The 23402-nt window shown below is 41.1% G+C and overlaps 2 protein-coding genes and 1 pseudogene across 9 annotated transcripts in view, besides 7 other annotated features; 1 reads left to right on the forward strand and 2 right to left on the reverse strand.

Annotated features, from left to right (window-relative positions):
• Positions 1-715: 715 nt before the first annotated feature.
• RWDD4 (RWD domain containing 4) lies at positions 716-20266 on the reverse strand. Of its 4 annotated transcripts, none has more exons than NM_001307922.2 (8): positions 20010-20266; positions 16962-17042; positions 12299-12404; positions 12065-12212; positions 10532-10649; positions 7569-7618; positions 7432-7434; positions 716-2549 (listed from the first exon to the last, which is right to left on the reverse strand). In NM_001307922.2, exons 3-8 carry the CDS (start codon positions 12322-12324, stop codon positions 2517-2519), a joined length of 378 nt encoding a protein of 125 aa, NP_001294851.1. In that variant the 5' UTR covers positions 12325-12404; positions 16962-17042; positions 20010-20266; the 3' UTR covers positions 716-2516. The 4 variants fall into 4 exon arrangements, with proteins under 4 accessions (NP_001294851.1, NP_689895.2, XP_047305703.1 ...); NM_152682.4 differs by having other exon boundaries at positions 12299-12408; XM_047449747.1 differs by having other exon boundaries at positions 12299-12408; positions 16962-17055.
• On the reverse strand, positions 14653-14757 carry RNU6-479P (RNA, U6 small nuclear 479, pseudogene; annotated as a pseudogene).
• Positions 19473-20261: an enhancer, noted in NCBI's record as "H3K27ac hESC enhancer chr4:184579545-184580333 (GRCh37/hg19 assembly coordinates)". NCBI's record gives its function as "activates a minimal SCP1, AML or CMV promoter by ChIP-STARR-seq in naive and primed H9 embryonic stem cells {active_cell/tissue: H9 hESC(naive and primed)}" and the evidence as "EXISTENCE:reporter gene assay evidence [ECO:0000049][PMID:30033119]".
• Positions 19473-20305: a biological region, named in NCBI's record as "H3K27ac hESC enhancer GRCh37_chr4:184579545-184580333".
• Positions 19781-20001: a silencer, noted in NCBI's record as "fragment chr4:184579853-184580073 (GRCh37/hg19 assembly coordinates)". NCBI's record gives its function as "represses an EF-1alpha promoter that drives an FKBP-Casp9 reporter gene in an ReSE screen in K562 erythroleukemia cells {active_cell/tissue: K562}" and the evidence as "EXISTENCE:reporter gene assay evidence [ECO:0000049][PMID:32094911]".
• Positions 19816-20025: a silencer, noted in NCBI's record as "silent region_15831". NCBI's record gives its function as "represses an Ori minimal core promoter by ATAC-STARR-seq in GM12878 lymphoblastoid cells {active_cell/tissue: GM12878}" and the evidence as "EXISTENCE:reporter gene assay evidence [ECO:0000049][PMID:35858748]".
• Positions 20176-20305: an enhancer, noted in NCBI's record as "active region_22186". NCBI's record gives its function as "activates an Ori minimal core promoter by ATAC-STARR-seq in GM12878 lymphoblastoid cells {active_cell/tissue: GM12878}" and the evidence as "EXISTENCE:reporter gene assay evidence [ECO:0000049][PMID:35858748]".
• Positions 20262-21049: an enhancer, noted in NCBI's record as "H3K27ac hESC enhancer chr4:184580334-184581121 (GRCh37/hg19 assembly coordinates)". NCBI's record gives its function as "activates a minimal SCP1, AML or CMV promoter by ChIP-STARR-seq in naive and primed H9 embryonic stem cells {active_cell/tissue: H9 hESC(naive and primed)}" and the evidence as "EXISTENCE:reporter gene assay evidence [ECO:0000049][PMID:30033119]".
• TRAPPC11 (trafficking protein particle complex subunit 11) overlaps positions 20374-23402 on the forward strand; it is a 54297-nt gene continuing 51268 nt past the window's right edge. For 3 of the 5 annotated variants that reach the window (NM_021942.6, NM_199053.3, XM_047416069.1), the window contains exon 1: positions 20374-20528. The gene's annotated coding sequence lies outside the window, so the exon portion shown is untranslated. Of the gene's footprint in view, positions 20529-20582; positions 21477-23402 lie in introns of those variants that run through there. The other 2 variants (XM_024454180.2, XM_024454179.2) reach the window with 2 other exon arrangements.
• Positions 20396-20685: a silencer, noted in NCBI's record as "silent region_15832". NCBI's record gives its function as "represses an Ori minimal core promoter by ATAC-STARR-seq in GM12878 lymphoblastoid cells {active_cell/tissue: GM12878}" and the evidence as "EXISTENCE:reporter gene assay evidence [ECO:0000049][PMID:35858748]".

Below are 23402 nucleotides of genomic sequence, written 5' to 3' on the forward strand. Positions count from 1 at the left end.
AGATTTTTGGGCAGGCTCTCATGCCTTGCTTTTATGTATTGTGATTTTTGACTGTGAGGACACATTCCATAAACTCTTTATGGGGCACCTCACTGGTGGTCTGGGTTCAAGTTGAGTTCTGAAAGAACAGAGATGTGTGTTCATTTCTAACAGTTACCTAGAGCCCCTACTGATTTGGTTCAACTAAGATATTGGCTTGAGGTTTTGTCTGTTTTAAAATCATACATAGGGGGAGGAATTTGGGCTGAAATCCAAGTGTGAGGTAACTTGGGGGCACAAACTGTCAGGAGTGTGTGTGTATCCATACTTATATATGTGTATATATATGTATATACTTATATTTTACTCTTCCATCCAGAACCAGTTCCAAGACAGAAATTTCCTCAGGGCTCGCACTGGAGGATGGGCCTCAGTCTTACAGATGTGTCGGGGGTATGACTCCCTAACCTAGGCTGATCCTGGCCTTCATCTCTTGTCTTCTGGGCCCTTGAAGCTGAAAACTAAAGCTGTCCTTAACCTCTAGGTTCCAACTTTCACTGAATTTTTTGGCCTCTAGGCATTCCTTTTCTCCTGTGAGCTCATTTGAAAAACATTTTTTAATCCAACATTTTGAATAGTTTCTAGTAGGAGGGTACATCTTGCACCATAAGGCCATGCAGATTTATAAAATCAACAATTCTCTCTGAAGTGATCTGAAATAAAATGTGTAGAAAAATCGCTGTGTATAATTCAGACTTTATTGCTTATTAATTATGTCACTCCACAAAATTTTAAGTAAACAGACATTGAGAAAATATACTGGGAGTGTTAAACAGATGACGGCAATATTGATGAGGCTGTTCAAGTGTTTTACATAAGGTAATAAGAGGTACCACCATCACCAGAACCCCTACAAATTTTTACATTTCATATAAAAAGAGTAAAAATAGTTCATTGGCATGTAACTAGCATCATTCTCTGTAATCTATGAGCCATAATAAGCCTGAACAATTTCAGTCTCTTCAGAGCAAAACAAAGTATTTTATTCCACTAGCAGATGTTTCTCCAAAAACAAAAAACAAACCAATACAACCACAAATACTACCCACACACAACCCTGAAACATAAGTTGCCATATTCCAGTGGTCCTGAATTTTAACATGTTTTGCTCTACATTAATTCAAGAAATAAAATGAGAAACAGCTTTGAAAATGAGATTAACTCCTTTGCTGTAATTATACTTACTCTATAATTCAAACTATTTAGCTGAAGTCAGTTAACGAGTAAAAACCGCGGATACAGCTCAAACTGCTCTTAACTTCTTTAAATGTTTACTGTTCTATCAAAACTCAGACCCAAGCTGCACAGGTGTAACTTGAGGCACTAACAATCTTCCTACCAGACGTAATAGTTTTATGTGTTCTTAAAGCTGGGCGCATATACAAAATCACTGTACATCACACATAAACATCAGAAACTTTTCTTGGCACAACTAGACCAATAGTTTCCTCTATTATTATTATTTTTAAATCAAGCATGTGTAACAGTTCAGCATTTAAAAGACTCCCATGTATATGATTAAAAAGATGCTCAGGTTGAGAAATACATTTGAATACTTGAAAAGACACTCCAAAAAGAAACAAGACTTGAAATGTGGTTTTATGTTGAACCATTTAGGAGACCTCAGTTATCCAACAACTAAAAGCACACAACAGCAGATAAATAGGATTTTATTAAAATCAATGTCTCCAACAATACAAAAACTAAATATTAAGGCATCTTTTACTCCCATCCTGGTATATGCAAGAGAAATGTTTTAAGAAAGGGCCAGCATTTCTTACTAAAATGCTTTCTAGTGTATTTGGCAGATTTGTTTTTATATTCTCCTATTCCACATACCACTCAAAGCACTCATGATCAAACATCTTGACCCAAATCAAGAGAAAAGTATAAATAGATATTAATTTATTAAAAGGAAGCAGTTCATCTTTCAAAAATTAAAAGAAACTACAAAAAGTATCATGTATAAAGTTCAAATACCAGCATTTAAATTTCTCTGAAGTAATTTACGGTTCAGTAATTAAGCAAAAGAAGAGATGAAGACTTAAGAGAAGAAGCCTATTAATATGGATTGCACTATGGAGTAACTGTTCACTGAGTACTCCGCTCCACTGGGATGATAGTTTGAAAAGGGCTTCATACTCCTTTAAGAAAATAGCACATCCACCAGGATAAGATCATTTAAATTAACACTGATTCTTATTCCCCATGCCTGTCCATTTATAAAGCTCAAGGGGCTTCATAAAGTATACTAAACAGTAACATTTTCACCTTTTATTAAGGCAAGTTTGTGAAAATAATTTAATACAACAAGATCTCTTCATGAACTTTCAACTTACAACCTTTTTAATGTAAGAAACATACAAAAAATTGTGTTTTATAAAAAGTCGCCTCAATACCAGAAAATAGTAATGAAAGATTTTGAACCCAGTTTTACTCTTTAAAGAATGCTCTTTCCTTGTCTCAAATTCCAAGTGCTACTCATCATCCTTAGAGCCAGTTTTGCTTAACTATAAAAAAAAGAGAGAAAATAGTCAACAAGTGGTATTTTCTGAGTTCACTATTTCCATGGAGTATCAAAATTAAACTATAGGCAACGAGGCTTAAGTAACTTAAATCACCTACAGTTTTTACCACATGTAGCTACTTTTCAACTTCAAGCTCAGCTACTTCAAACGGGTTTCAAAATGTAACCTTGACAAAAATCTAAACTCAACAGAACAAGGTGGTGTGTGGGTGGGTGAGCGGGACACTCTTGAAGCTTTCTAGGAAGTAAACTGGAACCAAGAATATACAAATAGAAGGTACCATCTATAAAATGAATGACACTCTTCAAAAGTTCTTGTTTTCCATCACATATTCTTTTTAAAATTTTTAAAAAATAATTTTAAATGTGGTCAAATAAAAAAATACGTAACCTAAGATTTACCATCTTAACCAGACAATAAATTCTTATAGTTTTGAAAATATGATAAAAGTCTTATTTTTGCATTGCAATTTTTTTCTAAGAAAAATCTTTGGCAGGGGTTGGCAAATTTGGGGTAAGGGGAGGCAGATAAAATACAAAGATGATTCTGATCAGACTACTGCTCCAACTACTGAGAAAGGCCACCGCACCTGACAACTCCAAGAACACTAGAGAGTGTGGGAAGCCATGAAAAGCAGAAACTACTAAAGGTGTTGGTTCTCAAATATTTCGGCCTGAGGACCTCTTTCCATTCTTAAAATTTTTTTTTTTTTTTTTTTTTTGAGACAGAGTCTCGCTCTGTCGCCCAGGCTGGAGTGCAGTGGCGCGATCTCGGCTCACTGCAAGCTCCGCCTCCCGGGTTCACGCCATTCTCCTGCCTCAGCCTCCCAAGTAGCTGGGACTACAGGCGCCCGCTACCACGCCCGGCTAATTTTTTGTATTTTTAGTAGAGACGGGGTTTCACCGTGTTAGCCAGGATGGTCTCGATCTCCTGACCTCGTGATCCGCCCGCCTCGGCCTCCCAAAGTGCTGGGATTACAGGCGTGAGCCACCACGCCCCACCCCAAATCTCTTTATTATCTAGCTCAGTGGAAGACAGCTGGCTTCTCACAAATATGCTTCAACAGTAAATCAGGTATAATGGAAGACAGCTAACAACAGCACAGTATAAGTACTAAGAACAACCTGGGTTAATATGCACATCCTCAACCTACTGATTGAGAAAATTCTGGTAAACACAAGAAAATACAAGCACACATTCTCTTAGTGCTTTAAGAGTATTAGTGATGGCATCATCAAATGTCATGCAGCCTCTGGAAAACGCCAGAGAAGTTTCATAAGAAAATGGGTTGGCTGGGCGCGGTGGCTCACGCCTGTAATCCCAGCACTTTGGGAGGCTGAGGCGAGTGGATCACGAGGTCAGGAGATTGAGACCATCCTGGCTAACACGGTGAAACCCCGTCTCTACTAAAAAATACAAAAAATTACCCGGGCATGGTGGTGGGTGCCTGTAGTCCCAGCTACTTGGGAGGCTGAGGCAGGAGAATGGCGTGAACCCGGGAGGCGGAGATTGCAGTGAGCCGAGATCGTGTGACTGCACTCCAGCCTGGGTGACAGAGCGAGACTCCGTTCAAAAATAAATAAATAAATAAATAAATAAATAAATAAATAAATAAATAAAATAAAAATTAAAAAAAAAAAAAAAAGAAAACGGGTTAAGGCCGGGCATGGTGGCTCACACCTGTAATCCCAGCACTTTGGGAGGCTGAGGTGGGTGGATCACTTGAGGTCAGGAGTTTGTGACCAGCCTGGCCAATATGGTGAAACCCCATCTCTACTAAAAATAAAAAAATTAGCCAGGCGTGGTGGCGCATGCCCATAGTCCCAGGCTGAGGTAGAAGAATCGCTTGAACCTGGGAGGCAGAGGTTGCACTGACCTGAAATTGCGCCACTGAACTCCAGCCTGAGTGACAGAGCAAGACTCTATCTCAAAAAAAAAAAAAAAAAAAAAAAAAAAAAAAAGCATTTAAGGGCACACATCATCTTACTATTACGATGCAAATAGTTTTGACCTTGTGTACCCCCTGAGAGAGTCTCAGGGACATCCCAGGGGTCCAAAGCCCACAGCTGGAAACTACTGGCTTAGCATAATAGATTCAGAGACCAAATTATGTCTAGGTGGTAACCTCCTTAAAAATATCTTCTTTCGGGCTGGGCATGGTGGCTCAAGCCTGTAATCCCAGCACTTTGGGAGGCCAAGGCGGGTGGATCACCTGAGGTCAGGAGTTGGAGACCAGCCTGGCCAACATGGTGAAACCCCATCTCTACTAAAAAATACCAAAATTAGCCAGGTGTGGTGGCAAGCGCCTGTAATTCCAACTACTTGGGAGGCTGAGGCAGGAGAATCACTTGAACCCAGAAGGTGGAGGTTGCAGTGAGCCAAGATCGCACCACTGCACTCCAGCCTGGGCAACAAGTGCGAAACTCCGTCTCAAAAACAAACGAACAAACAAAAACCACAAAAAAAACTTCTTTCATCTCCCAAGATTACTGGTAATTTGAATTTTACTCTTTGTTACAAATTGGAATTTTATTTCTATTATCAGGGACTCTTAAAAACTTCTGGAGCTAGGGAAGGAGGAGCACTATCAACACCTTTAGATCAGATTCTTTTTCTTCTCACTTTCAGCTTAGAGCTGCACTAAGAGAGGCAACATTTTGACTAAGAAAATTGCTCATTTTGGAGCACAGCATATTTGGAGGAAAGAATGAATTTAGCTGGTTAGGCTATATGTTGGTATATGTAGGACAACATGAAGTATCCATCAAGCATCAGTGGAGAAAGTCCTGGGAAATGAGAGAATGCCGGAGAGGCTTCACTCATACAGTATCTTACACAGGGGAGGAAGAAATACTGTGTCTCTTCCAATTGTAAGTTAGGGCCCAACTCCCAGGAAATATTTTTGTACTAGTTACTAGCAGCACTAAGATTATTTTAAAGTTTCAATAGAAAATGCATTCAATGGAACAAACAGCTGGCTTTAAAATAAAGTTTAAGAAAATGGCCAGGGCCGGGCACTGTGGCTCACACCTGTAATACCAACACTTTGGGAGGCAGAGGTGAGGGGGGATCGCTTGAGGCCAGGAGTTTGAGACCACCCTGGTCTACATGGCGAAAGCCCATCTCTATTAAAAATACAAAAATTAGCCAGGTGTGGCGGTGCATGCCTGTAGTCCTAGCTACTTGGGAGGCTGTGGCACAAGAATTGCTTGAACCCAGGAGCAGAGGGTGCAGTGAGCTGAGATCATGCCACTGAGATCCAGCCTGGGTGACGGAGCGAGACTCGGCTTCAAAAAAAAAAAGAAAAGAAAAGAAAAGAAAAGAAAATAGCCCTGAGCAGTGGCTCATGCCTGTAATCCCAGTACTTTGGGAGGCCAAGGTGGGAGGATCACTTGAGCCCAGGAGTTCGGGACCAGCAGCCTGGGCAACAAAGTGAGACCCTGTCTCTAGTAAAAATAAAAAAATTAGTTGAGTGTGGTGGTGCATGCCTGTGGCCCCTGCTACCTGGGATGCTGAGGTGAGAGGATCGCTTAATCTGGGGAGGTCAAGGCTACAGTGAGCCATGTTCACGCCACTGCACTCCAGCTTGGGCAACAGAAACAGACCTCATCTTCAAAAACAAAACAACAACAAAAAACCCAAAACAACAACCAAAAAGGTTTAAGAATACACTGCTTGTAAATTACCTGTATTTGTGGGTCCTCACTAAAATCCTAATCTTTAACTACCCTTGCATCCCATTAAACACTTCTCACAGGAGTTGTGGCACTAAATGGAATGCAAAATTTATTTCGTGAAGTCCTACAAAGAGAATTAATTTACTATGTTAAATATTAGTGTAACGTATTTGAAACTACAGCTAATACAAGAAAAATCTGAGACATGTAGGCAGCAAAATTCAAAATGAAAGCAAACAATTTTAAACAGAAACAGAGCATTGTTCTTGGTATGATGAACAACCACGTTTAAGGTCTGTCCTTAAAAAAACCCACAAAAGCCAAGGCCAGGTGTGGTGGCTGCCGCCGGCAATCCCAGCACGTTGTGAGGCCGAGGTAGCAGGATCACCTAAGCCCAGGAGGTCGAGAACAGCCTGGGCAACATATCTGTCTCTGCAAAAAAAAAAAAAAAAAAAATTAGCCAGGCATGGTGGCACATGCCTTTGATCCCAGCTAGTCAGGAGGCTGAGGATCACTTAAGCCTGGGAGGTCCAAGGCTGCAGTGGGCTGTGATTATGCCACCAGCTAGCCTGGGTGACAGGGCAAGATCCTGTCTCAAAAACAAAAAACAAAAACCAAAAACTTAAAAGTAATTTCTACTAAGAAAGTAAAACATTCTTTTCCACATCTGGTTTTCTTCAGTTTCCATATATTGTTGATAACTTGGAGTCATATTTAAGAATCTGCGTTATCTTTTCTTTTCTTTTTCTGTTTTTTTGAGATGGAGTCTCACTCTGTCGCCCAGGCTGGAGTGCAGTGGCACGATCTCAGCTTACTGCAACCTCCGCCTCCTGGGTTCAAGCGAATTCTCGTGCCTCAGCCTCCTGAGTAGTTGGGACTACAGGCGTGCGCCACCATGCCCAGCTCATTTTTGTATTTTTAGTATAGACAGGGTTTCACCATGTTGGCCAAGCTAGTCTCGAACTCCTGACCTCAGGTGATCCAACCACCTTGACCTCCAAAAGTGCTGGGATTACAGGTGTGAGCCACTGTCCCCTAAGTATCTGCATTCTTAAGATGTGCTTACATAGTCATACTATATTGTAGTTTTAACTTCTGCAAATTTTCCATTACTTAAAAAAAAAAAAGATCTAAAATTGAGAGTGCAGGGAAAAGAAGAATGTAAAAGGTATTTCAAAAATACTTACATGCTGAATGTAAAAAAGGAAACAGACATCCCAGTGAATTCCAAAGGTTGTGAAGGGGAAAACAAAAAATAAGAATTTCATTATTTGCTGGTAATAATTGTAACAAGTTTAAAGACTAGAATATAAATGTTATATACCTTCACAACATCAACCCAGTTCCAGCCTCGAGGAAGTTCTCCTTTGTGATCTAGAAGATAAAAAATAGTAACTTTATTTCTAAGACCAACCAGCTAGTTTTATAATAATTAAGATTTTATATACTACTGTACACAACAAATAGGTTAAAAATTTAAATGACATATTACTAAGTTGGAAAAAGAGTTTATCATTATGAATCGATACTGTTCTCCTAGGAATACTTGCAAAATATTTTAGGTATACTCCTTTTTTACATTTATGATATTGCTATCCAAGACAAAACCTGATAATGAGGAAAAAATATAGAGATGGGTTGGTAATGCCAGGAAAAGCAGTTAATCCATTTATTAGTTTCATGCATTTGCATGAAGCTACTGCTTTATATAAGAGGTCATTGCTTATTTAAGTAATAAGTTGTATTGTTCTGTTTAATAAATTAGCATTTCGCACCCAGAAGCTAGGCTCAAGACAGGAGGACTCACAAATATATGTCTGGCCTGGCTTCAAGACTAAAAGAAGGGCTGGCTAACTTATGTATTAGTTGCTGTGATCTGATAACATATTCATTATTTAATCTAACATTCTTTAAAAAGGGCTTTAATCTGTTGGGATTGCTTGGAAACTAGCTTATAATTCATAGTCTGCAAAGTGCTTTTATTATTTTAACAGAATATTCAAATTTAAAGAATAGCTTAACAAATATTATCTAAAAATTCTTCAATTTAAAATGGCTTGATTTCCTTTATGCTTGATGTATGCCATGCATGTCTCCACTTTATGAAACCTTAAAAATTTAAACTCAAAACAAGTACATTATATGAATTTTCCAGCTAGGGAAAAAGAAATTAACCCATGATACTTACAGGAGAGAAGCAATATTACTGGAGCTCAATTTTAGATGCTATCGGTTCTTTTCTCTTTCATGCCAAGAAGAATCGTATCCCCCTGGTTACTGGTTATAGGGGGCACATCACCAATTTTGGTTAACTAAAACTTAGCCACAGTGCCGTGGCTGTCCCATTAAAATTTTATTTAGAATGAAAGCTCCAAGTCACAAACTCGTATACTGTCATTATGGGAAGGTAATGGCTTTAGGTGGGCATCATCAAAGAGATGAAGGTAGGGAGCTATTAATGAAATAGAGTGATCACAGGTCATTATGTATGAAAGCAATATTACCTAACTGACATAGATGCTACAATATTCAAAGAGAGATAAACCAAATTCTAGACAACAAACTGTAATGGCTAACAACTTACTGCTTCAGTTGTTTTTAGAGTTTAATGCTGCTCTGACATTAGGTAGAATGAATTCTTAGATTTTTTTATTTCACAAACCATTACCATTTCAAAAATGTATTTTGGAAACAAACACAGAGTTGCTATTTGCCACAGACAGACATTAAACAAAACATAAACCACAAAAAAACTGCCATTCCATTACAGAAGAAAGGACATTTAAAAGGCCCTCACCAGGCCGGATGCGGTGGCTCAAGCCCGTAATCCCAGCACTTTGGGAGGCCGAGGCTGGCAGATCACGAGGTCAAGAGATCGAGACCAGCCTGCCCAATATGGTGAAACCCTGTCTCTACAAAAAATAACAAAAATTAGCCAGGCATAGTGACATGCGCCAGTAGTCTCAGCTACTCGGGAGGCTGAGGCAGGAGAATTGCCTGAACCCAGGAGGCGGAGGTTGCAGTGATCGCGCCACTGCACTCCAGCCTGGGCAACAGAGCGAGACTCCGTCTCAAAAGAAAAAAGAAAAAAAAAAAAAAAGGCCCTCACCAAAATAAAAGGGTCGGTTCTTCTCAATAAAGAGAAACTTTTTAACCTGACATAGTAGCACACGCATAGATACATACATAAGTGTAAATGTGCAAGTACACAAATGACGTCCTCATTTTCCCTAACTGTGAAAAAGTTTACAGACTGTTATCAATTTGCAAGTTTTCAGGTTAAATAAAGAAAAGCAATCAAATATTATTGTTGATATGAGCTAGAGTTTATTATCTTCTTCTAAAGAACTCTTGTTTAGAACATATGAGAATTCTATTCTTAAATATTATTGTTGTATAATTAACTACAGGCAAAAATGTTAAATTACTTATCACACTAAGACCTAATGGTATACTGGTATCCATTTCAAATGAAAACTGTATTTCAAAAAATTTTTAATAACACACAGCTACTAAAGAGGTAAACAAATCCCAAACATGTTAGAGCTCCAGGTAGAACATGTTTTTGTAGACTATTTAAATGCTCCTCAATCTCTAGACTCATTTATAGTTACTTTGCCACTCGGTTACCTTTTTTTTTCAAATGGTGACCTCTTGTGATGAAGTAGTAGTAAATATTTTCTTTTTTTTTTCTTTTTTTGAGACAGAGTTTTGCTGTTGTTGCCCAGGCTGAAGTGCAGTGGCACAGTCTCGGCTTGCTGCAACGGCTGCCTCCTGGGTTCAAGCAATTCTCCTGCCTCAGCCTCTCGAAATATTTTCAGTATACATATGTGACCCAAAAGGTCAGTGACCCAAAAGTTCACTGGCCCAAATGTTCCAAGAAGAAAGAGTAAGAATTAATCTAAATATATCCACCATATCACACTAAGAAGCAATCCATTTATCTGGGTTATAAAAGAAAAAAAAACGGCTGGGCGTGGTGGCTCACGCCTGTAATCCCAGCACTTTGGGAGGCAGAGGCAGGTGGATCACCTGAGGTCAGGAGTTCGAGACCAGCCTGGCCAACATGGTGAAACCCCGTCTCTACTAAAAATACAAAAATTAGCCAGGTGTGGTGGCATGCGCCTATAATCCCAACTACTCGGGAGGCTGAGGCAGGAGAATCGCATGAGCCTGGGAGGTGGAGGCTGCAGTGAGCTGAGATCATGCCACTGCACTCCAGCCTGGGCAACAAGAGTGAGACTCTGTCAAAAAAAAGAAAAGAAAAGAAAAGAAACACACACAAACCTGTTTTGTCTGCCAGCTTACGCTTCTGGGCTTTTGAAAGTTGTTCTTTTTTGTCTTTTTTCTTACTTGATGGGGCTGTATTAGGAGTTTCAATTGAGATGATATTGCTTATCGATGTCTAAAAAAAAAAAGAAATAATTCTCAGCCTCATACCTTACAACTTGTGTTACACTAAATACAGCTATATCCTGAAGTGGGTTGATAATTTTTACACTTATGAAATAAAAGAATCCTATATTATTATGATTCATTTTTAAAATCAAGTGCCCTTAACACATTATTGGTTTTACTCTTTTAAAAGTTCAGATCAAAGGACGTAATATTAGTTCAATTGTTATAACCAAAATCCTGGGAAGGAAGATCTGATTATCAGCCTTATGTTGAAGATCTGAGGTTCCAAGGTAGGTTTACAATTCAGTTAACTTGCTATTATTTGGAAATTTAATTAAAACCTTTTTTTTTCTTTACAGAGCTTTTCTCAATGTGAACACTTGACAATTTAAACACGTCTTTAGAAAAATCACGTGTGCCTACCTAGAACATCCTGGTTCCCGGAAGAAAAATTTTAAGACACATGGGTTAATGCAGTCAGGGTATATGATAGCTAAAATGTAAAATGCTTACTAGGTCTAAGCATGGCTGCAAATGTTTTCCATATACCACACATTTGATCCTCAGCACAATCTTAGAAGGTAGATACTATATAACCCCCATTTGACAGATGAGGAACTGGGCACAGAAAGATTAAGAAACCTGCCGAAAGTCACAGAGTTGGTGAGTGGTGCAGTGATGTGAACCCAGGCAGTCTGGCCCAGAGTCCATGATCTTAGCTACCACCCTCCACTGCTCCTCCAGTTGCCTCTTGGGGTTCTGTGTCCTGTTGGGAATGTGAAAGCCAAAACCACTTGCACAGAAGACAGGCCTTGCTGCCAACAGCTTAGCCCTTGGTTCACAAGACAACACTAAATTATACCGAACCCCTCAAAGTCTTTTAGTGCATGACGTGGTGCAAAGGGGCCTCATACACAGATGCTTAACGTCATGAAAGAAATATTTCCTAAAACTATTCTAGAAATAATAATAAAACAATTTTTTCTATTCAATAAAGTTTCCACATGCTGCAACATCTACACATTGAACTGTGGCAAGACTGTTTACAATGAAACAAGCCTCATGCAGAAAGCAATTTCATACTTATTTTAGCACTGCATAAGAGATCCCTTAGCTGTTTAAGCTTTATGGAGAGATTAAACAAATATTAAAAATACTAGGTTCTATGATATCTCAGTTTTGGTGGGCATGTTATATATATTCTAGTCTTTGATAAAGGATAAAAATCTAGAGAATATAATATCATTTTCTAGGTTAAATAGAAGAAATCTGAAATCCATTGTTCTCATTTAACTCAGGTGTAACTCTCACTTTAACAAGTCTTCTTCCGATTTTGAATATATATTAAGTAGTACAAATTTATTGCTAACAGCAAAACCAAAACAACAAAAGAATCCGGCAAAAAAATAATCACATACTCACTGCGGAATTGATGGGATTGTGATTCTCCATGAACTGCTCTTTATTGTCTTTGGCATATTCAAACAATGTATAGGTCATAGCGGTTCCAAGATTAGCTTCTACTGCTTCCTGTAGCTTGGCTAATATACTCTGCTTTACAGCTGATGATCTACAATGCACAACAAAAATACCTTGCTGAGAGAAAAGTATAACAGAGAGTGAAATGAAAAGCAGTAAAAACAAGACACTACTCACATGGTGTTGTTAAAAAAAGCGTTCATAGATAGAATTGGAGGTGTTTGGGGATATGTTTCTGTCCAGGAAATCTCTATTAAGAAGGCTTTGGGATCACCATTTTCACCTATCTGAAGAGAAGGGGAAATCTTAGGCTTGTAAAAGGTGATAAAAAGACAGAAAACTAAATTATAATCTTCAAAAGGGTGAATTCTTTCCAATACTCATGCTCAGATCAGAAATGTAATATTTTGAAAAGTCCAGTGACACAGGCTAGGACTGAGCAGGGGTGAAGGGAGTCTCAGGACAGTCTGACTTTAATTTAGTCCTAGTATAGCTTCATAGGTTCAGTTTATGCCCATGTCCTGTCCCTAACCAGCCTACCAGCTTTTCTAGTACCACGCCTACATCTTAGGTATTTTTTAGTGTTTTCCGAGGATGAAAATAAGACATCAACTTATCCGTGGGATACAGAAAGAGAATGGACAAAAATAATTCACAAACTCGACACACCTCATCTTTGTTTTAAGTTATCCAACTGCTAAATCCTAGGAGGCACAACCCCAAGAGTCAAGAAAATGAAATTTAAAACTGAGAGAAAAAAGGAAAAGGCAAAGGATAAGGGACAGGAATGTCTTCAGCTGCTAACAATTTCTGAATAAAGACGCCCTTGTTTCTTCCGCTCTGCTAACTTTTTATTTAAACATTTTTAATCTTAAAGAAAAACTGAAATAGTATAATGAACACTCTGACATTCATCTTATTCACCAAATACTTTCTGCCTCATTTACTTTATCTTTCCCCCTCTCCACCATAGAATCAACCCCTACTCTCCCAATGTGATTTTTTTCCCCTTTGGTTTTTGCTTAAACATCTAACAGTAATGAAATTTCCTCAATATGTGAGTAAAGTATCTTAAGAAAAGGACAATCTTCTTCATAACCACAAGATCATTATTACACCCAAGAAATTCAACATTGGTACAAAAATGCTATCTAATACATAAACCATATTAAAAACTACCCAATCATATCTAAAGTGTCCTTTAATAGACATCACCTCAACCCACAAATCCATAATCCATTGAGGGATCATGGACTGCACGAGTTGTTATGCCTCTTTATTCTGCTTTAATTTACAACAGTCCCCAGCCCTCTCCCCTGGCTTTTTTTTTTTTTTTTTGAGACAGGGTCTCACTCCATTGCCCAGGCTGGGGTCCAGCTGATCACGGGGCGGTCACAGCGAGCTGAGATCGTGCCATTGCACTCCAGCCTGGGCGACAGAGCAAGAGTCTGTGGCAAAAGTAAAAAAAAATAAAATAAAAAAAGAAATCAGCTGGACACAGTGGCTCATGTCTGTACTCTCAGCACTTTGGGAGGCCAAGGCGGGTAGATCATGAGGTCAAGAGATCGAGACCATCCTGGCCAACATGGTGAAACCCCATCTCTGCTAAAAATACAAAAATTAGCTGGGCATGGTGGCATGCGCCTGTAGTCCCAGCTGCTCAGGAGGCTGAGGCAGGAGAATCGCTTGAATCTGGTAGGCAGAGGTTGCAGTGAGCCGAGATAGTGCCACTGCACTACAGCCTGGCAACAGAGCAAGACTCCATCTCAAAAAAAAAAAAAAAGAAAGAAATCCTCCCACCTCAGCCACTCAAGTAGCTGGAGCTACAGGCGTGTGCCCCATGCCAGACTTTAAAAAACTTTCTGTAGAGACAAGGTCTTCCTATGTTGCCCAGGCTGGTCTCGAACTCCTGAGCTCAAGTGATCTTCCTGCCTCAGCCTCCCAAAGTGCTGGGATTATAGATAGGCATGAGCCACTGTGACTGGCTTCCCCTGCCTTTTAAGCCAAAAAGAATACAGGCTAGTTTTCTTGTATAATGTCCCCAGATCTGAACTGATTCAAATTAAACATTTTTGGTAAGAAAACTACAGAGGTGATGTGGCATCTTCCCATAGCATCATATAAGGAGGCACAGAAGATCTTCCAGAATCATCACTGGTGACACTAAGATTGATCACATGGTTTAGGTGATCTTCTCCAGATCTCTTCAACACAAACCTTTTCATTTTGTAATTAAGGAATAATCTCGCTGGGTGAGGTGGCTCATGTCTGTAATCCCAGCTCTTTGAGAAGGTGAGGTGGGAGGATGACTTGAGGCCAGGAGTTAGAGACCAGCCTGGGCAACACAGCAAGACCCTGTCTCTATTAAAAAAAAAAAAATCATCATCGTCTGTGGGGCAACACTACAAAACTGTATGAATACCTTGTTTCTCAACAACCTTTCACCCAAAGGTTTTAGCCTTCATTAACAGTCCTTAACTGTAACTGAATCAATTATCATACTGGTGGTTGCAAAATGGTGATCTTCTAGTAAAACGGTGGAATGATACATGAATCAACATCTCATCCTTACACAGGGCTATGCTAATCTCCTCTGTATTGTTATTAAAATAAATGTAGGGATCTACTGATAGACCTGGATAAGGATTATCTGCATAATAGATGTCATTGGTTTATGTTTAAATATAGATGATAAAAAGTGATAAAAGTTACCTGCTTGATGCAATCACTACGTCCTTACTCATGGCGCATTTAGGAATAAATTATCACATGCCTCACACTGTGCTGGGTACCGAAGATACAAAGATAGAGACAAGGCTATTCCTGTCTTCAGACAGATATTTATATAACTTACAAAACTGCAATATGAATAATAGTTCAAAAGTAACAAAACAAAGTATGAAGAAATGGGGAACGGCTAATTCTGATTCAAAGTCAGAGCAGAGACAGGAGACATGGCCCAAATATTAATGTATCACAGAGAAGGCCTGAGTTAGGCCTTAAAGGAGAGGCAGGGGAATAATGGACCTGAGGTGAGAGAAAGATCAAACAATGTGTGCAAAAGCATAGTACTAGAAAAAAATACACGGGGGGAAATGTCACAACCCATTATGTCTAAGGCATGTGAGTGGAGGGGAAAGTTTGGAGACAGAAACAAACAGAAGGATTTGGAGTGTCAAGTGAAAAAATTTCGTCCTCATTTTATAGGCAAGAGGAACCCAGAGAAAAACATTTTTAAAGAAGAGAATGGGATGACAACTTAAATGCTTCAGAGTGCCAACTAGTACTGTTGGAGGACTCATGGTGGAGTATAAGGGGGAAGCTAAAGAAAGTATTAAACCGGGGAAGTCAACTAGGAGGCTACCAGACTATTCCGTGCAAGAACTGAGGGGTGTGACTCAGGCCACAGGAAGAACTTTACCCCTGGCCCTTTGACTATCAACACACTGTCTCCTAATCTCATGTATCATTCTTCTTAAATCCATCCTATGGGTCACGTCAGTGTCCATCTTATAGTACATATAAATGTCCTAGGGCATTCTGCACAACATGCTCTAAATCACTGCCATTGTGAATGAGATATTTAGGAGAGTATAGGGAAATTCTCGACCTCCCATTTGCTAAGGAGAGAGTAGCAACTGGATTCAAACCGAAGGGCCTAGGACTTAGCTCCACTGTTAACTTTGGACATTTGAGGTCCATGGTTATTACATACTTGGAGATGGTGTAAGGACTGTTAAGCTTGAAAGGGAATTGAGAACAGAAACTTATTTTCTGTGATGGTCATCCATCGATCATGCATAAGAATCATTTCTAATAGTTTAAACTGTGACAATGTTAATAATAACTGTAAATCTTTTACAAAAAAAACTTCCCCATTCCGCTACTTATAATTATTTGTGTGTTTTTTTTGTTTTTTTTTTTGAGTCCCGCTCTGTCGCCCAGACTGGAGTGCAGTGGCACAATCTCTGCTCACTGGAACCTCCGCCTCCTGGGTTCAAGTGATTCTCCTGCCTCAGCCTCCCAAGTAGCTGGGACTACAGGCATGCACCATCATGCGTGGCTAATTTTTGTATTTTTAGTAGAGACAGGGTTTCACCTTGTTGGCCAGGCTGGTCTAGAACTCCAGACTTGAGGTGATCCGCCTGCCTCGGCCTCTCAAAGTTCTGGGATTAAAGGTGTGAGCCACTGTGCCCCGCCTACTTATAATCATTTGAATAAAAGGTTTATATGACTTATTTACAAAATAAAATACTGTTACTATTTTTTTTTTGAGACAGAGTCTCGCTCTGTCGCAGTGGCTTGATCTCGGCTCACTGCAAGCTCTGCCTCCCGGGTTCACGCCATTCTCCTGCCTCAGCCTCCCGAGTAGCTGGGACTACAGGCGCCCGCCACCATGCCCGGCTAATTTTTTGTATTTTTAGTAGAGACAGTGGGGTTTCACCATGTTGGCCAGGATGGTCTCGATCTCCTGACCTCGTGATCCGCCCACCTTGGCCTCCCAAAGTGCTGGGATTACAGGTGAGAGCCACCGCGCCCAGCCCTACTGTTACTATTTTATGTTAAAGATAAGATTAAATAATTTTTAAGGTTTTTTCCATTTCTAGTATCTTATGATTCTGGTACAATAAAAACAAGTTTATCTTGGTTTTTTAAGCTTCTGAATTAAGTTTTCAAACGTTAAAAATGACTGATGTTAGGGTGATGTTTCCATTTAAATGCTACAGAAAATACAGACATAATAAATTTAAACAAGTTTAAAAAACAAAATAAGCATTTTTAGCCACTTTCAGTCTTTTCTAGAAAAGTTCTAAGTGCTCTTATTCATGCCATGTCTTACCCTATATTGAAAAGAAACTGGACTTAATTCCCGGAAACTTTCATCTCCTTCATAAATAGAGCGTAATGCTTCTAGTTCCATCTGAAATAAAGAACTGAATGAGTTTTGTTTAGTGGTATAAATGAATTAGAAATAGAGGGTCTTTACTTTCTCATTCAAGCCCACTCAACTATGTAAAAGCTTGACTAACTTATATAACCTTAGATACTTACCACATAGGTGCATGCAGCAACACATGACAATATTACTACCAATGATACTTACTTTCAAACTCTGTGTCAGGGACTACTAAGCACTGTACAATGTATGATCGCGCTGACTTCTCAAATCAACCCTGTCAAGAGGCTCCTATTATTTTCTCCTTCCTAGGGAAGCAAGGAAGTCTCCCTGTAAAGCCACTCCAGAGCAAGCGCTCTTAGAACTTGGCTAAAGACGAACCTGGGTGCAAAGAGCATTAAACCTAAAGATAAGAACTATGAAAAACAATACTTTCCCATTATTTACATACATTTCTTTTATATGTAATCCTTCCCACAGTGATACAAAGCTCTAAAAAACACCTAAGGGCAAGAAAAAGAACTTAAGAAAAAGGCTGACAAGTATCTACCCAAGATGAGACAGGACTGTCAGAGAAAATGTAACTAGTAATCCTTGCTTGGACATAGTTCTTAGAACATTTTGGTATTACAACTGAGAAGTTCATCACTGTGATCACCGATGAATACCTGAGAAAAGAAGTAAAGCAAGACTGCACTTGGGTACACGTTTAAGTTTTTCAAAAAGATGCATGTCATGAATTCTACAAACTAAAGATGGTGAAAGTGGGCTTGATCTACAGTCAAAATTTTAGAATAGAAATTATTGGCTGGGCGCGGTGGCTCACATCTGTAATCCCAGCACTTTGGGAGGCCGAGGCGGGCGGATCACCTGAGGTCAGGAGTTCGAGGTCAGCCTGGCCAACACGGTGAAACCCCATCTCTACTAAAGACACAAAAATTAGCCAGGTGTGGTGATGGGCGCCTGTAGTCCCAGCTACTCAGGAGGCTGAGGCAAGAGAATCGCTTGAACCCAGGAGGCGGAGGTTGCAGTGAGCCGAGATCGGGCCACTGCAATCCAGCCTGGGCTACAGAGCGAGGCTCCGTCTCAAAAATAGCAACAACAACAGCAAAAAGACATTGTTGAAGAAACAGTGTGTGAGGAACTGGGACATTAAGGAGTAGACCCTAAGACCTAGTAAGTATATGAAAAACAAGATATACCCTTCTTAGATAGGGAAACTTGATTGGCACAATGAAGAAAGGCATAAAACACCGACTATATAGATTTCAGCCAGGCTCCACAGGTTTCTCTTGCTACCTTTACAGAAAAAACAAAAAAAAACAAAATACAGAAATTCAAGCCGGATTCAAGAATAACTAAGATTAGATTGGAACAAAAACCTTACTCAAGATATAGTACTACTCCTTCTGTCCCTAATCCTTTCCCATATTTTAATTTATGACTTGGACAGGTACAAAAATAGGAGGCAAGTTTATTAAATTTGTGGATGACAATTTGTTGGGACAGTGAATAATGCTGATGGCTGAATAAGAATCCAAAAAGTCTTTGAAAAGCAAGCTAATGATGAAATTTAGCAGGGTAAGTAGAACTTGTATCAATACTCAGATACCTAAATGTAGAAGTTGAAGATGAAAGACAAATTGCTTTGTATAAAGCACTTAAAAGATTTCAGTTGACAGTAAATTTAACTAGACAAAACAGCAAGATGCCACAATTTTGAAACAGGACATTTAAAAAATTAAAATCTGTCCACAAACACGTGATTCCAGGATAGTGAAGAGATTAACAAAGAATGGATATATGAAGACAAGCTAAAAGGAACCACTTCCTCAGAGAAGGTCTGAGAAACTGGGCAGGAAACTATCTTCAAAGATCAGAACATCGGTCATCTGAAAGAAGAATGAAATTTTCTTGTTAAACTGGAGATTCCTGGGCCCACCACAGAAATTCTGATTCAGTAGGTCTGGGGTGGAGTGCACGCATCTGTTTTCTAGCAACCATCTAAATGGTTCTAAGGTAGGGGACTATGGTCCAACTCTGAGAAACATTACACTGTATGTTCTTTGCTTTGCAGGGAGAAGAAGCTATTAACGCATTCACTTAGAAATTCACCCGGCAAGAATATTTTAGAAGAGATTCAGATATCAACTAGCTAGCTTGTTGGACTTTGGGTCCTTTAAAGGTTAACTTCCAATCCAGAGATTCTATTACATTTATCATGTAAAAGTAGTAAGTTTCAAGCATTATACTTTAAATTAACAGTGAACTTATCTACCACCCAATAAGACCTGGTTTCTAGTCCCGATTCTACCACGTACTTACTGTGCAGCCCTGCGGCTATCATCGACCCACCTATCAAAGTTAGAAGGTTCCCCTACAGATGGCCCGTAGCACCCACCCCCCAACTCTAATATTATATGATTCAATGTCAAAATGGCATCTCACAAGGAAATATTTGAGCATAAACCATAAATTCAGGTGGTACATGAATGCTCAAAACAGACAGATGGGTAAAAGATTTCCCCAAACAATATGGACAGAAACTCAGATGCACCACCAGTGTCATTTTCTTCCATGAGAAATGTAACTAACTCAATTAGCCCTCTACTAGCCAAGAGATTTAAAGATGACCAGACTAAAATTTAAAGGTGATCAGCCTAACTCAGTAAACAGGCACTGAACACATGGGATTCAAGGAGAGCCAAGAGCACTGGATCGTGCACCAAGGACGCTCATCCCTGTTATTAAGTAACCAGGGGAGACTCCCGGATTTGCAAAAATGAAAAATGAGGGGGGAAGAGTGGCAGAGGCGGACTCCTGGCCATTCACGCGCGCTTGGGTGGGACGCCGGTGAACTCGGGGCACCCCGGCCGGCTCCGAGGGCACAGGGCACGTGCCGGGCAGGCTGTCCGGGCACCAGGTCTCACGGGGGCCCGGGGCTGCGCGCCGCGCCCGCGCTGGGAGAGGGCCCTGAGCCGGGGGGCTCACCTCCTGGTCCTCGTTGGCACTCATCGCGCCGGTCGCGGGGCGCCTCCTGAGCGGACGGCGTTCGCAACAACGAAGAGAAAGCGAAGGCAGCGGCCCAGAGGCCGGGCGTCCCCCTTTCGCGCCTCGGCTGTGGGGGCGGCACAGTCTTGGCACTGGCAGACGCCAACTGCGCGCGCCCCGAGCCTCGGCAGCGCCCAGCCGCCGGCAGTGGGCTGTGGGCTACGAGCCGGAGCCGCGGCTGGTGGGGCCTGGGAAGTGCAGCGTCTCCCTGACGCTTGGAGGAGCGGCGTAAAGTTCCGGGACAGCGATTGGTGTAGAGCGCGGTCACTCAGGCCCAGAAAGTGCTTCCTGTGCCGGGGGAGGTGGGTACAGGGAAGTCTCGCCTGTTGGAACTGGCTGTGGGGCTGCGGCGGTGGGGACGGGCCACGGCGTTCTGTGACATCCCCCCGCCTCCCCTCGTCTTCTCCCGGCTGGCGGCGACCGGCCTCAGCTGCAGCGGGCCCGGGGCGTGGGGCCTGGGTGAGTCCGGGCCCGGAGACCCGCGGGGCCAGGCGGGACCGCCGAGGAAGAGAGCTAGCTCTTAACAATGCTGGTTTGGGGGCCTGCGTTTTGCAATCCCATCGACGGGTGCAATCCTGGCACTTCTCTTTTAGACCCGAGGAAAGACGCACCCGTTTCTAGGGCCTCCCAGGTTTAAGACGGGGGAATAAGAGGAGGAAGATATCTGCCTTTAGGGACTGCAAGGTTATTTCTCTACCTTTCCTCACTGGAGCTACCAGAACAGATACTGGGACCATGGGGACGGTGTTTCTCCTACGTTGGATTGTTGCTTCTCATCTTTAACATCGAAACATCATTTCGTCCCCACACTGTCGTTCCTCTTTTGTTCGTTTTGTAGTTGAACATCTCTGAATCCCATTCTTAGCAGCCTTGTGTCCTAACACCCTGAACTTCCAGTTAGTTAAAAGAAAAAAAAAGTAACCACATTAGGTTTTGGGGTTTTTTTAGTTGCCAATTTGATTGGGTCACCTTTCTTATCTTTCACGCTAGTTTCCAGTTTACTTCCCTTGCATTACTTGATCTCCCATCCATTATTCACCTTCTATAGCTGCGCCTCCTTTCGTGTATAGTTTCGTTGGTTGCTCCATTGGATATCTGAAAATTTCTCCTTCCAGCCTGTCATTGAAATCCATTCGATCTGCGCCTGTGCGTTATCGGGGTTCTCATTCAAATTCCTTTGCTGCAGAATAAGCACGACCATTTCAGGTGACATAGGAGAATGTGGCAAGACTTTCTGATACAATTTTCGTGCAGCAATTTTGGGACACATTTCCCATAATTTAGATCTCTGCTGTCCAGTTCTGTAGCCAGTAGCTACATCAGGCATTTGAAATAGGCTAGTCTGAATTGAGATGTGCTGTGAGTGTGAAATACACACCAGATTTTGAAGACTCAGTACAAAAAAAGGTAAAATATGTCATTAATAACTTTTATATTATTGTCAGTATGATAATATTTTGGACATACTGTACTGCGTTAAATTGAATATTAAAATGAATTCCATCCACGTTTTACTTTTTAATATGACTGCTAGAAATTTTTAATTTATTTATGTGACTTGTATTTCTATTGGATGACAGTCATTTTTAGTTCCTCTTATTTCAACTCCATATTTAAAGACCACAGCTATGTCTTTTGGGCCTCTGGAGTTATTACAGGAAATGGCCTCTAGTCTAGACTCGTTCATATTAAGCAAAGGGGCCCGTATTGTATTTTGGTCACTTGTTTTTTGTTGTTGTTGTTGAGACGGAGTCTTGCTCTGTTGCCCAGGCTGGAGTGCAGTGGTGCGATCTCGGCTCACTGAAATCTCCGCCTCCCGGGTTCAAGCCATTCTCCTGCCTCAGCCTCCCGAGTAGCTGGGACTATAGGCACGCATCACCATGCCCGGCTAATTTTTGTATTTTTAGTAGAGACGGGGTTTCACCCTATTGGCCAGGCTGGTTTTGAACCGTTGACCTCGTGAATCGCCCGCCTTGGCCTCCCAAAGTGCTGGGATTACAGGCGTGAGCCGCTGTACCCAGCCTGGTCACCCCTTTTTAATTTTCATTCCTACATTACCCAGAACTAGACTGTTTCTTTCTCTGAACATGCAATCCTTTGCCCTCATAACTTAATCCTGTCCTAAAAATATTTAAACAATTCTAAAACAATCTGTTGTAGACATTTCTGGCAAGCTTTGCAAATCATTTATTGAATACCTGTTGTTCTTTCAGTATGTAAACATGAGAAGACTAATAGTCTTTCCTAAATTAACCTTTCAGTTGAAAATATTCCATGTTTTGGGGATTAGGTATTAGCCTAAGTGTGCCTCACTTTTCACAAAGATTGTGTTAGACTTCTCCATAATATACTGGTATACTGGTGTAGATTACCTTTTTTTTTTTTTTTTTTTTTTTTTGAGACGGAGTCTCCTCGCTCTGTCGCCCAGGCTGGAGTGCAGTGGCGCGATCTCCGCTCACTGCAAGCTCCGCCTCCCGGGTTCACGCCATTCTCCTGCCTCAGCCTCCCGAGTAGCTGGGACTACAGGCGCCCACCACCATACTCGGCTAATTTTTTGTGTTTTTAGTAGAGACGGGGTTTCACCATGTTAGCCAGGATGGTCTCGATCTCCTGACCTTGTGATCCGCCCGCCTCGGCCTCCCAAAGTGCTGGGATTACAGGCGTGAGCCACCGCGCCCGGCCAGATTACCTTTTAAAAGAGCCTCATGACACATTCTTTTTCAAATAAGATTATATTTAAAATGTAGTGATAATTTTGTTTGGAATAACTTTTTTTTTTTTTTTTTTTTTTGTGGCACAATCTTGCTCTGTCACCCAGGCTGGAGTGCAGTGGCACAATCATAGTTCACTGTAACTTTAAACACCTAGACTCAAGTGATCCTCCCATCTCAGCCTCCCAAGTGGCTGGGACTACAAGTGAGCACCACCATGCCCGGCTATTTTCTTTTTTATTTCTTTTAGAGACAGGATCTCACTATGTTTCCCAGGCCAGTCTTGAACTCCTGGCCTCAACAATCCTCTGGCCTTGTCCTCCAAAAGTGCTGGGATTATAGGCATGAGCCACTTGTGCCTTACCTGAATTCTCTGTAATATGCTGGTATAGATTATCTTTTAAAAGAACCTCATTTGGGAGGCCAAGGCTGGCAATCGCCTGAGGTCACGAGATCAAGACCATCCTGGCCAACATGGTGAAACCCTGTCCACTAAAATACAAAAAATTAGCTGGGTGTGGTGGTGCATGCCTGTAGTCCCAGCTACTAGGGAGGCTGAGGCAGGGGAATCACTTGAACCCGGGAGGTGGAGGTTGTAGTGAGCTGATATTGGGCCAGTGCA

Source organism: Homo sapiens, chromosome 4 (assembly GCF_000001405.40).
Source record: "Homo sapiens chromosome 4, GRCh38.p14 Primary Assembly".
Taxonomy (NCBI): domain Eukaryota; kingdom Metazoa; phylum Chordata; class Mammalia; order Primates; family Hominidae; genus Homo; species Homo sapiens.